The 13,566-nt window shown below is 37.1% G+C and overlaps 1 protein-coding gene across 25 annotated transcripts in view, besides 1 other annotated feature; it reads left to right on the plus strand.

Annotated features, from left to right (window-relative positions):
• Positions 1-13,566, plus strand: part of SLC4A10 (solute carrier family 4 member 10) — a 360,855-nt gene that overhangs the window by 179,664 nt on the left and 167,625 nt on the right. For 24 of the 25 annotated variants that reach the window (NM_001354461.2, NM_001354447.2, NM_001354441.2 and 21 more), the window contains one exon: positions 370-516. The exons of the other annotated variant lie outside the window; for it this stretch is intronic. In NM_001354461.2, coding sequence (NP_001341390.1) covers positions 370-516 — 147 coding nt within the window. The remainder of the gene's footprint in view (positions 1-369; positions 517-13,566) is intronic. 25 annotated transcript variants of the gene reach the window in all.
• Positions 8,197-8,366: an enhancer, noted in NCBI's record as "experimental_54812 CRE fragment used in MPRA reporter constructs". NCBI's record gives its function as "activates a minimal promoter by MPRAs in K562 erythroleukemia cells, with activity observed for both the introgressed and non-introgressed 2:162668871 variant alleles {active_cell/tissue: K562}" and the evidence as "EXISTENCE:reporter gene assay evidence [ECO:0000049][PMID:34662402]".

Here is a 13,566-nt window from a genome sequence, read left to right on the forward strand (position 1 = left end):
TGTGAAGGGAAGGGATTTGATGAGATAACACAATTGTCTGAAGGTAGAGAGAATAAAAAACAATTTTTTTTCTAATGAGAAGAGTATAATTAAGCATGGGGAACAGACACATAGAGATTATAAAGGAAGTGATGATTGCAAAATATTTAACCAAATAATTAGTATTATACATGTTTGTGATAGAGCTATGGTACACTTAATTAGGTAAAATGCCAAAAGACAGTGCCACGCTCCAAGCTTTATGTATCATAAACATCAAAAATGACTTGCTGAATTAAATTAAATTGAGTCTCCATTAACATGTAAATCATCATATCTGTGCCCTGGAATAATTCAGAGTTTAATTTGTGGGTTTGCTTCCTTATGAAGGTCATCGAACACTATTTATTGGAGTACATGTGCCCTTGGGAGGAAGAAAAAGCCATCGACGTCACAGGCATCGTGGTCATAAACACAGAAAGAGAGACAGAGAAAGAGATTCAGGATTAGAGGATGGAAGGGAGTCACCTTCTTTTGGTAAGAATCCTTCTCCTTGTTTTTATTAAGTTAATTATTGTAATATACTTGCTTATACAATTATGATTAGGAGTAATACCTTATACTCATAAAATTGTTTATACTTTTATAAAAGACTTTGGGCCGGTTGGAGAGAAGTGGGAGAGATAAAGCTTGATCTTTGTTTTTCTCTTATATATTTGCATTGAGAAGCTGAGAATTGATGAAGATTTATGATATAGGAAATACAATTGAGTAAAGCTCAAAAACTCTTGATAATTTATACAAATAATCATCATTACTCAAAGTGGTTTGAAAATCCAGGGCAAAATGCCTTAATTTAGTTCCCATTTGCACTTTTACTGATAGTGCCCAAGTTTCAGTCTTAGGATGTTGTATTAGTCCGTTTTCACACTGCTGATAAAGACATACCCGGACTAGACAATTTACCAAAATAAAAAAGAGGTTTAATTGGACTTACAGTACCACATGGCTGGGGAAGCCTCACAATTATGGTGGAAGGCAAGGAGAAGCAAGTCATGTCTTACATGGGTGGCAGCAGGCAAAGAGAGCTTGTGCAGGAAAACTCCCCCTTATAATAACTATCAGATCTCATGAGACTTACTCACTATCACGAGAAAAGCACAGGAAAGACCTGTCCTCATTATTCAATTAACTCCCACTGGGTCCCTCCCACAACACATGGAAAATTCAAGATGAGATTTGGGTGAGGACACAGCCAAACCATATCGTTCCACCCTTGGGCCCTCCCAAATCTCATGTCCTCACATTTCAAAACCAATCGTGCCTTCCCAACAGTCCTCCAAGGTCTTAACTTATTTCAGCTTTAATTCAAAAGTCTATAGTCCAAAATCTCATCTGAGATAAGGCAAGTCCCTTCCACCTGTGAGCCTGTAAAATCAAAAGCAAGCTAGTTACTTCCTAGATACAACTGGGGTAAAGGCATTAGGTAAATACAGCCATTCCAAATGGGAGATATTGGCCAAAACAAAGGGGCTACAGGCCCAATGCAAGTCCAAAATCCAGCAAGGCAATCAAATCTTAAAGCTCCGAAATGATCTCCTTTTACTCCATGTCTCACATGCAGGTCATGCTGATGGTTCTCATGGTCTTGGGCAGCTCTGCCCTCGTGGCTTTGCAGGATATAGCCCACCTCCTGGCTGCTTTCATGGGCTGGCGTTGAGTGTCTTGTTGCTTTTCCGGACACACTATTCAAGCTGTCAGTGGATCTTCCATTCTGCAGTCAGGAGGACAGTGGCCCTTTTCTCACAGCTCCACTAGGTGGTGTCCCAGTAGGGACTCTGTGGGGGCTGTAACCCCACATTTCCCTTCTGCACTGCCCTAGCAGAGGTTCTCCATGAGGGCCCTGCCCCTGAAGCAAATTTCTGCCTGGGCATCCAGGCATTTCCATACATCCTCTGAAATCTAGGCAGAGGTTCCTAAACCCCAATTCTTGACTTCCGTACACCTGCAGGCTCAACACCACATGGAAGCTGCCAAGGCTTGAGGCTTGCACCCTCTGAAGCCACAGCCTGAGCTCTACATTTGTCCCTTTCAGCTATGGCTGGAGCAGCTGAAACACAGGGCACCAAGTCCCTAGGCTGTACACAGGATGGGTACCCTGTGCCTGACTGAGAAAACCACTTTTTCTTCCTGGGCCTCTGGGTCTGTGATGGGAGGGGCTGCCATAAAGACCTTTGACATGCCCTGGAGACATTTTCCCCATTGTCTTGGGGATTAACATTTGGCTCCTCATTACTTTTGTGAATTTCTGCATTTGGCTTGAATTTCTCCTCAGAAAATGGAATTTTCTTTTCTATTGCACTGTCAGGCTGCAAATTTTCTGAACTTTTATCCTTTGCTTCCTTTATAAAACCGAATGTCTTTAACAGCATCCAAGTCACTTCTTGAATGCTTTGCTGCTTAGAAATTTCTTCTGCCAGATACCCTAAATCATCTCTCTCAAGTTCAAAGTTTCACAGATCTCTAGGGCAGGGGTAAAACACTGCCAGTCTCTTTGCTAAAACATAACAAGAGTCACCTTTGCTCCAGTTCCCAACACGTTCTTCATCTCCACCTGAGACCACCTGAGATTGCCTGGACCTTATTGTCCATATCATTATCAAGCTTTTGGTCAAAGCCATTCAACACGTCACTAGGAAGTTCCAAACTTTCCCACATTTTCCTATCTTCTTCTGACCCCTCCAAACTGTTCCAACTTCTGCCTGTTACCCAGTTCCAAAGTCACTTCCACATTTTCAGGTATCTTTTCAGCAGCACCCCACTCTACTGGTATCAATTTACTATATTAATATGTTTTCACACTGCTGATAAAAACATACCTGAGACTAGGCAATTTACAGAAGAAGGAGGTTTAATTGGACTTACAGTTCCACATGACTGGGGAAGCCTCACAATCATAGCGGAAAGCAAGGAGGAGCAAGTCACATCTTATGTGAATGGCAGCAGGTAAAGAGACCTTGTGCAGGAAAACTCTGCCTTATAATAACCATCAGATCTCATGGACTTACTCACTATCATGAGAACAGCACAGGAAAGACCTGCCCCCCATGATTCAATTACCTCCCACCAGGTCCCTCCCACAACATGTGAGAATTCAAGATGAGATTTGGGTGGGGACACAACCAAACCATATCAAATGTGAACCTTTTACTATTGTGAATGCTCTCTCATTGAAAGCATATTCAGAATACCACAATAAGTGTTTTCGTAGTTGTTAAAAGGTTCTGAATGCCATGAGAGCCCATGTACATGACATAACTGAGAACCTGGCTCTCAGTTCCTTGACCATCCCATCTCTTATGACCTTCTCTGTCATTGCACTTTGTTCACCTTCTCAACCATATTCACTCCATCCCTGAAGTCACTAATTCATTTATCTTTCTGTCTGACCACAGCTTCACTCCTTTCTTGCTGTGCAGCTACTTAACCCCTCTACTTTTCTTCTATCCATAAGTTTGTCTTTATTTGTTTATCCTAGTCTGATTGCATAGCATGCAGTCTTAGGAATACTTTAGCATTACTAGTATTCCATTTGTATTACTAGTAGTCTATTTAGTAATACTAGTATTCTAAATATCTTAGGTTCTAAGTTTTAGTTTTCTTCATACCTTTACTGCCTCTTTTATTTTCATTTTTAATAGGAAGCAGCATTTTATTTAAAATGTTTTTAATAGATTTCTTAAAGATGTAAATAATCGAATTAAACTTAGTCTATATTACTTGTATGAATTAATTTACATTTTGTTCACATTCGTGAAAAATAATTTAGCTAGGTATGCAATTCCAAATTGACAAGTATTTTAACTCAGCACTTTGAACATAATATCTATTTATTTATCAATTTCATGAAGATGTTAAGAAAGGAGATAAAAATCTATTGTTGCTCTACAGTTAATTTGGATTTTATATTTTTATGAATTTAAATCATTTCCTTTATTTTGGTATTTAGTTTTACATTTATTATGATATTTTCAGACACACATATATGCCTTTTATGCTTTTCTTGGTTGATATTTAATGAGAATGTATATTATTAGTTCTTTAAAATGCTTAAACATGTCCTATTTTCTATTATTTTCTCTCCCACTTATTTAAATTCTTTCTTCAAATATTCATTAAGCATATTCCTTTCAATTTCATTTTCGATTTATTTTGATCCCTCTTTTATATTTTTTCATCATTTTCTCCTTGTCCTGACATTGAAGTGTTTATTTTAGCTAATTCATTTATTCATATTTTAGCTCATAGTTTTTGCCTTGCTCATATCCCTTTACTTTCTTTAAACATTTTGACTACATGTGTCTTTCACTTCTTTTACTTTGGATTCGGGGGCATGTGTGCAGGTTTGTTACATAAGTATGTTGTGTGATGCTGGGGTTTGGGATATGGATGGTCCTATCACCTAGGTAGTGAGCACAGAGTATAGTTTTACAACCCTTGTTCCCCACCCTCCTTCCCTGCTCTGGTGATTCCCAGTGCCTATTGTTCCCATCTTAATGTACATAAGTACCCAATGTTTAGCCCCACTTATGAGTGAGAACATGCAGTATTTGGTTTTCTGTTCCTGAGTTAATTTTTTTAGGATAATGATCTCCAGCTGCATTCATGTTGCTGCAAAAGGATATGATGTCATTCTTTTTATGGCCACATAGTATTCCATGATATATATGTACCACATTTTCTTCATCCACTTTACCATAAGGAAACCTAGTTGATTCCATGTCTTTGCTATGGTGAATAACACTGCAGTGAACATACCAGTGCATGCATCTTTTTGGTGGAATGATTCATTTTTCTTTGAGTATATACCCAGTAATGGGATTGCTGGGTTGAATGGTAGTTCTGTTTTAATTTCTTTGATAAATCTCCAAACTGCTTTCCACAGTGGCTGAACCAATTTATATTCCCACCAACAGTGTATAAGCATTCCGTTTTCTCTGCAGCCTTGTCAGCATCTATTATTTTTTGACTTTTTAATGTTCACCATTCTGACTGGTGTGACATGGTATCTCATTGTGGTTTTGACTTGCATTTCATTTGTTGACTGCTTGTATGTTTTCTTTTGAGAAGTGTCTGTTCGTGTCCTTTGCCCATTTTTAGTAGAATTATTTGTTTTTTGCTTGTTGATTTGTTTAAATTTTGCTTGTGGATTCGGGGTATCAGACATTTTTTGAATGCATAGTTTGCAAATATTTTCTCCCATTCTGTAAGCTATCTGTTTAGACTATTGAGATTTGCTGTGCAGAGGCTCTTTAGTTTAATTAGGTCCCACTTGTCAATTTTTGTTTTTGTTTCAATTGCTTTTGGAGACTTAGCCATTAATTCTTTGTCAAAGTTAATGTTGGGAAGGGTATTTCCTAAGCTTTCTTCTAGAATTATTATAACTTAAAGTCTTACATTTAACTCTTTAATCCAACTTGAGTTAATTTTTGTATATGGTGAAAAGTAGGTATCCAGTTTCATTATTTTGCATATGGCTTGACAGTTATCCCAGCACCATTTATTTAATAGGGAGTCCTTTCTGTATTAGTTATTCTTGGTGACTTTGTTGAAGAGCAGACTGTTGTAGGTGTTTGACTTTATTTCTGGATTCTCTATTCTATTCCATTAGTGTGTGTGTCTGTTTTTTGTACCAGTACAATGCTGTTTGGGTTAATGTAGCCATAGAGTACAGTTTGAAGTCAGGTAATATGATGCCTCTGACTTTGTTCTTTTTGCTTAGAATTGCTTTGGCTATTTGGGCTCTTTTTTGATTCCATATTAATTTTAGAATAGTTTTTCTAATTCTGTGAAAAACAACATTGGTGTTTTGATAGAGATCGTATTGAATTCTGTAAATTGCTTTGGGCAGTATGGCCATTTTAATGATATTGATTCTTCCTATTCATGAGTGTGGAACATTTTTACATTTGTTTGTGTTGTCTCTGATTTCTTTCAGCAGTGTTTTGTAGTTCTCCTTGTAGAAATCTTTCACCTCTTTGGTTAGATGTATTACATTTTTTTGTGTGCCTATTGTAAATGGGATTGAGTTTTTGACTTGGCTCTCTGATACAATGTTATTGCTGTACAGAAATACTATTGACTTTTGTACATTGATTTTGTCTCCTGAAACTTTACTGAAATTGTCAATTCTAGTTGCCTTTTGGTGGAGTCTTTAGGGTTTTCTATTTCTAAAATTATAATCATCAGCAAAGAGAGATAGTTTGACTTCCTCTCTTCCTATTTGAATGCCTTTTATTTCTTTCTCTTGCCTGATTGCTCTGGCTAGGTCTTCCTATACTATGTTAAATAGGAGTGGTAAGAGTAGGCATCACTTTCTTGTTCTGGTTCTCCAGGGGAATAGTTATAGCTTTTGCCCATTCAGTATGATTTTAGCTGTGTGTTTTTCATAGATGGCTCTTATTGTTTTGAGGTATGTTTCTTCAATGACTAGCCTGTTGAGGGTATTTTATCATGAAGGGATTTGGGATTCTCTTGAAGGCCTTTTCTGTATCTATCGAGATAACCATATGGTTTTGATTTTGATTCTGTTTATGCGATGAATCATATCTAGTGAATTGTGTATGTCGAACCAACCTTGCATTCCAGGAATGAAGCCCACTTTTCTCATAGTGAATTAGATTTTGATGTGCTGCTGAATTCAGTTTGCTAGTATTTTGTTGAGGATTTTGTGTCTATGTTCATCAGGGAGTTTAGCCTGAAGTTTTCTGTTTTTGTGTCTCTGCCAGATTTTGGTATAAGGATGATGATGACTTTGTATAATATGTTAGTGAGAAGCCTCCCCTCATCCTCAATTTTTTGGAAGAGTTTTAGTAGGATTGGTACCAGTTCTTCTTTGTAACTCTAGTAGAATTCAGCTGTGAATCCGCCTGGTTCAGGGCTTTTTTTGGTTGGTAGGTTTTTTTAAAATTACCGATTCAATTTCAGAACTTGTTATTGGCTTATTCATGTTTTCACATTATCCCTTGTTCAACCTTGGATGGTTTTGTGTTTCTGAGAACTTATCCATTTCCTCTAGATTTTCTAATTTGTTTGCACAGAGGTGTTCATAATAGTCTCTGAATATCTTTTGTATTTCTGTGGGATTGGGTGTAATGTCATTTGTCATTTTTGATTGTGCTTATTTGGGTCTTCTCTTTTTTTGTTAATCTAACTAGTAGTCTATCAATCTTATTTATTCTTTCAAAAAACAAACTCTGTTTCATTTATCTTTGTATGGACTTTTGCATCTCAATTTCTTTCAGTTGTTCTCTGATTTTAGTAATCTCTTTTCTTCTGCTAGCTTTTAAAGCCATACTTATGTTGGGGTTCCTCCATTTTTCCATTTTCTCCTTGCCTCCACAAGCAGATATACTCTGCTGGAAATCATCATTCAACAAGGCAGATTGTAACCATTATGAAGTTATGACTCAAGGAGACCTTCAACATCTCCTCCTAATTTCATTGTGTATCTTTTTTGACATTTGAAATAATTATTTTTCAACTTTCTTCGCCTTCTTCATCATTCTCCAACATCCTCTCTTTTCACCATTACTTGATAGTAATCTTGCTTTGTACTTCAGAGGGAAAATATATCATCAGAAAGAACTCACTTTACTTTCTTCCTGTTAAAAAGTTATAGCTGAAACCTTTCTTCCTATTAAACGGTTAAAACTGCAAGAAAATAAGGAAGTTTTCTTTTCCTTTATGTTTATTTTCTATTCCCTCTCACCACTCTGGAAACTTATGCCATTTCTAATTTAATTGACCTCTTCCTCTTGAAATGAATTTTTCTTATCATCTTTGAAACATGATAGAGTCTCCACCATTTTAAGCAGTTCTCCAACCTCCTGCAAACCCACCTTTAGTCATTCAGATATGTAAGTTAACTGCATATAAATGTTCTGGGTAGCAATTTTACTTTTAAATATCTCTCCATATTGCTTTATTTGGTTTATTCAATATCTGGCTTCAGTAACTATTGCAGATAAGTCTATAGTCTCTCTATTTTTATTTTTTAGGTTTATGTATTTTAATCCTGAATGTTTATAGACATTTTTCTGTGTCCCTTAATGAAGAAAATTGCTAAGATTGACCTAATGGTAGGTGTATTAAAAAACTTTTCCATCCCGCATACACGAATAGTTTTCCACCTAGGGAACATTTTCCTATTATGTTTCATTCTGTTCCATTTACTTTGATCTCTTTGTGAAGACTTTCTTTGCTCATATCCCTCTACTTTCTTCAAACATTTTAACTACATATATCTTTCATTTTTTTTTAACTTTGAATTTGGGGGTACATGTGCAGGTTTGTTACATGAGTATGTTGTATGATGCTGAGGTTTGGGGTACAGATGGTCCTATCACGCAGGTAGTGAGCACAGAGTATAGTCAATTTTACAACCCTTGTTCCCTACCCTCCTTCCCAGCTCCGGTGATTCCAAGTGCCTATTGTTCCCATCTTTATGTCCATGAGTACCCAATGTTTATCTCCCATTTATGAGTAACAACATGCAGTATTTGGTTTTCTGTTCCTGAGTTAATTTGCTTAGAGTAATGGCCTCCAGCTGCATTCATGTTACTGCAAAAGGATATGATGTCATTCTTTTTATGGCTGCACAGTATTCCATGGTGTATATGTACCACATTTTCTTTATCCACCTCACCCTAATGGTACCTAGTTGATTCCATGTCTTTGCTATGGTGAATAGCACTAAGATGAACATGCACGTATATGTCAGATTTCTGATTTCTGCTCTGTATCCTTTTCCTCTGTAGTTTAATGTTAGTCTTTTATATTACCATTTGATTATCTGCAGAATAAATTCTGCATTTTCCTACTTTTATTATGAGTTTTGGTTTTGCTGTTGCATTTTTAGTTTTCATTAATTTCTTTCTTATTTCATCCTATTTTCTTTACATTTTAGCCTGTCCTTTCCTGAATACTTTTTATTTTTTTCTGGTTGGTAGAGTGTATCCCCAGTGATTTCTGGACGTTTTCATTTTATCCTAAAGTAGACAATTTTCAGAGCTATGCTTTTCCTTTGGACTGTCAGATTATTTTTACTCTCCATTGATTTTTAGTATTTTTTATGGACTCCTAGGTTTTTTCCTTTTTTTCTCATTTTTAAACAAGGAAAGGTAGATTCCTACTATATCTACCTAGCTATATCTTAAGATTGCTTAATGAGGCTGCTGTCAGTATGCTCCATGTTTCCAACAGTATGTATAATAAGCATCACACTTATCCAAATGCCCTGTACTTCTGCCAGGGGCAGCATAGTTGTTGGTGGCAGAGTATGTAAAGAAAAGTACTCTAGGTATCCTGCACCACCATGATAAAGAAGGATGGTTGTCCATAAGAATGGGCAGATGGGCTGAGAGTGTAGGATATACTAAGTATCTTCTGCATTTTCAGATGTTGTCTCTTTCATGAAGGAACGTCTTAGAGTGTAAAAAAATGACAATTTGGCATATTTTTCTCATTCAAGTTCCATCTGCTTATAGTTAGCAGAGATGCCCTCTTAGACTGCAGGAATGGATTATCTGTAGGGCTATGCGCTAATGATGAGTTTTCATCATTTTCTAGTATTTGAGAAAATATATTTATATCATCTTACAAGTATTTCATGAGCAAATAAAAATAAGCTGTATTTATCATTTGTTTGTTCCCTGTGCCTCTTCTTTATTTTTCCCTAACTGGAGGCATTATGCCAGTTTTTCTAGAACAGTGGTTCTCAATAATGACTGCATTTGAGAATTCTAAAACCGTGCTAATGCTCAACCCGTACACCAACCAGAATCTCTGTGCCTGGGGCCTAAGCATGAGTATTTTTTGAAAAGTACCCCCAGGTGATTCTTCTGTGGAGCTGTTGATAGCTCCACAGAAGGTTGATATCCACTGTTCTGGAAACTTTGCTATTTAAATTTAGTTCATCAGGGGTCTAATATCCAGAATCTATAAGGAACTTAAACAACTCAACAAGCAAAAATCAACGTGATTAAAAAGTGGGTAAAGACATGAACAGACACTTCTTAAAAGAAGACATATAAGCAGCCAATAAACATATGAAGAAATGCTCAATATCACGAATCATCAGAGAAATGCAAACCAAAACCACAATGAGATACTATCTCACACCAGTCAAAATGGTGATTATCAAAAAGTTAAAAAATAACAGATTCTGACAAAGCTGCAGAGAAAAGGGTATGCTTACACACTGTTGGTGGGAATATAAATTGGTTCAGCCACTGTGGAAAGCAGTTTGGAGATTTCTCGAAGAACTTAAAACAGAACAACTATTGACCCAGCAATGTCATTACTGGGCATATACCCAAAGGCAAATGAATCATTCTATCAAAAGGCACATGGACACGACTGTTAATCACAGTGCTATTCACCATGGCAAAGACATGGAATCAACCTAGGTGCTCATCAACAGTGGATTGAATAAAGAAAATATACTCCATGGCATACATTGCAGCCCTAAAAAAGAGCAAAATCATGTTCTTTGCAGCAACATGTATACAACTGGAGGTCATTATCCTAAGTGAATTAATGCAGGAACAGAAAACCAAATACCACATGTTCTCACTTATAAGTGGGAGCTAAACATTGGGTAGTTGTGAACATAACGATGGCAACAATAGACACTGGAAACCACCAGAGAGGAGAGGGAGGGTGGGGAACTAGGGTTAAAAAAGTAACTATTGGGTACTATACTGCCCACTACTTGGGGGACAGGATCAGTCATACCCCAAACCTCAGCATCATTCAATATGCCCATATAACAAGCCTGCACATGTACTCCCTGAATCTAAAATAAAAGTAGAAATTATTTTTAAAACTTACCAAACGTAAAGAAAGAAACCTGTACTGCTAGCTTTTAAAAGTTATTTAATAAATAAACCTATTTTATAACAAAAATAGTAAAAATAAATTTCTACTTCAAAGTATAAAGCCAACAATATTAGCATTAAATTTAAACTTGCCAGAAATGCAGAATCTCAGGCCCCATCCAGACCTCTTGAGTCAGGACCTGTACATTAAAAATATATTTAGGTAACTGGTATGGTTTGGCTCTGTGTCCCCACCAAAATCTCATCTCCATTTATAATCCCCATGTGTTGAGGGAGGGACCTGTAATCCCCATGTGTCCAAGGAGGGAGGTGATTGGATTTTGGGGGCGGTTTCCCTCATGCTGTTCTCGTGATGGTGAGTGATTTCTCATGAGATCTGAAGGATTTATAAGGCAGTGTTCCCAGCTCTTTGCTCGCTCGCTCTTCTGCCGCCTTGTGAAGAAGGTGCCTACTTCTCCTTCCGCCATGATTGTAAGTTTCCTGAGGCCTCTCCAGGCATATGGAGCTGTGAGACAATTAAACTTCTTTCCTTTATAAATTACCCAGCCTCAGGGAAGCTCTTTATCACAGTGTGAAACAGACTAATACAGTAACGTATATGAATCTTAAAATTTGACGACAAGCGATGCTCTAGAACATTGCTTATCAAACCTTCTGGCACATTGGAATCACCTGAGAAGCTTTAAAAAAATTATTGATGCTAGGCTTCAACCTCAAGGATTTTTATTTAATTAATCTTGGGTGTTTCCCTAGGCACTGGTATTTTTAAAAAGTACCCCAAATTATTTAATAACCACTTAAATAATTGACCAAGAATCAGATTCTGAGAAGCTTCTGCCTCTCAATTTGGTGAAACTTGGAAATAAGTCGGGTGGCCCAGATTCTCCCTCTTATTTTTTGCCACTATTTTTGGATGCCACCTACCTTTTTCCTTCTTCAATCATCTGAGTATCTTCAGTGACATTTAGACCTAAATGTGGTTTATCAGTGACAAATGTTTGGCACTTGGTGGTTTCTAAGCAATGGAATTTTCTAGATTTCACTTTTTTCAGTTTCTCTAGTACTAATCTTCTGCCTTCATCCTTATTCCACACTCAGTTTATTTGCTATAATAAGTACTCAGTCACACACAGAGACTTCAACCAAACCCTAAACACCATCCTATCTGATTTGGGTTTTGATATTCTGCATAGTGAGAATATATGACATTTCCATGCTGAAGGCATTAAAGAAAATTTCTGCCTACTTAAGAAATAGTTATTTTACGTGGAAGCATTCCAAAGAAAATATTTTGAAGATATTTCTGCAGGTGCCTCAAAATTCTTTGGAATTCAACTTCCGAAGAAGTATAGGATAGAGGAGAATTTAAGAGAGTATCAGGTCTCTCTGCTATGAAGCTAGATATATGTTGTTAATTGCAGTATGAATCTGTGAAATCATGGAATCATTAGGGCCCAAATTATGAAGCAAGCATCAATTTAACAAAACGATTTTTGGAAAAACGTTTGAATTTGGGCACTCTTTTTTTTATTATTATACTTTAAGTTTTAGGGTACATGTGGACAACGTGCAGGTTTCTTACATACGTATACATGTGCCATGGTGGTGTGCTGCACCCATTAACTCGTCATTTAGCATTAGGTATATCTCCCAATGCTATCCTTCCCCCCTCCCCCCACCCCACAACAGTCCCCAGTGTGTGATGTTCCCCTTCCTGTGTCCATGTGTTCTCATTGTTCAATTCCCACCTGTGAGTGACAACATGCGGTGTTTGGTTTTTTGTCCTTGCAATAGTTTGCTGAGAATGATGGTTTCCAGCTTCATCCATGTCCCTACAAAGGACATGAACTCATCATTTTTTATGGCTGCATAGTATTCCATGGTGTATATGTGCCACATTTTCTTAATCCAGTCTATCATTGTTGGACATTTGGGTTGGTTCCAAGTCTTTGCTATTCTGAATAGTGCCGCAATAAACATACATGTGCATGTGTCTTTATGGCAGCATGATTTATAGTCCTTTGGGTATATACCCAGTAATGGGATTGTTGGGTCAAATGGTATTTCTAGTTCTAGATCCCTGAGGAATCGCCACACTGACTTTCACAATGATTGAACTAGTTTACAGTCCCACCAACAGTGTAAAAGTGTTCCTATTTCTCCACATCCTCTCCAGCACCTGTTGTTTCCTGACTTTTTAATGATTGCCATTCTAAGTGGTATGAGATGGTATCTCATTGTGGTTTTGATTTGCATTTCTCTGATGGCCAGTGATGATGAGCATTTTTTCATGTGCCTGTTGGCTGCATAAATGTCTTCTTTTGAGAAGTGTCTGTTCATATCCTTTGCCCACTTTTTGATGGGACTGTTTGTTTTTTTCTTGTAAATTTGTTTAAGTTCATTGTAGATTCTGGCTATCAGCTCTTTGTCAGATGAGTAGGTTGCGAAAATTTTCTCCCATTTTGTAGGTTGCCTGTTCACTTTGATGGTGATTTCTTTTGCTGTGCAGAAGCTCTTTAGTTTAATTAGATCCCATTTGTCAATTTTGGCTTTTGTTGCCATTGCTTTTGGTGTTTTAGACATGAAGTCCTTGCCCATGCCTATGTCCTGAATGGTATTGCCTAGGTTTTCTTCTAGGGTTTTTATGGTTTTAGTCTAACATGTAAGTCTTTAATCCATCTTGAAT

Source organism: Homo sapiens, chromosome 2, assembly GCF_000001405.40.
Source record: "Homo sapiens chromosome 2, GRCh38.p14 Primary Assembly".
NCBI classification, from domain to species: Eukaryota; Metazoa; Chordata; class Mammalia; order Primates; family Hominidae; genus Homo; species Homo sapiens.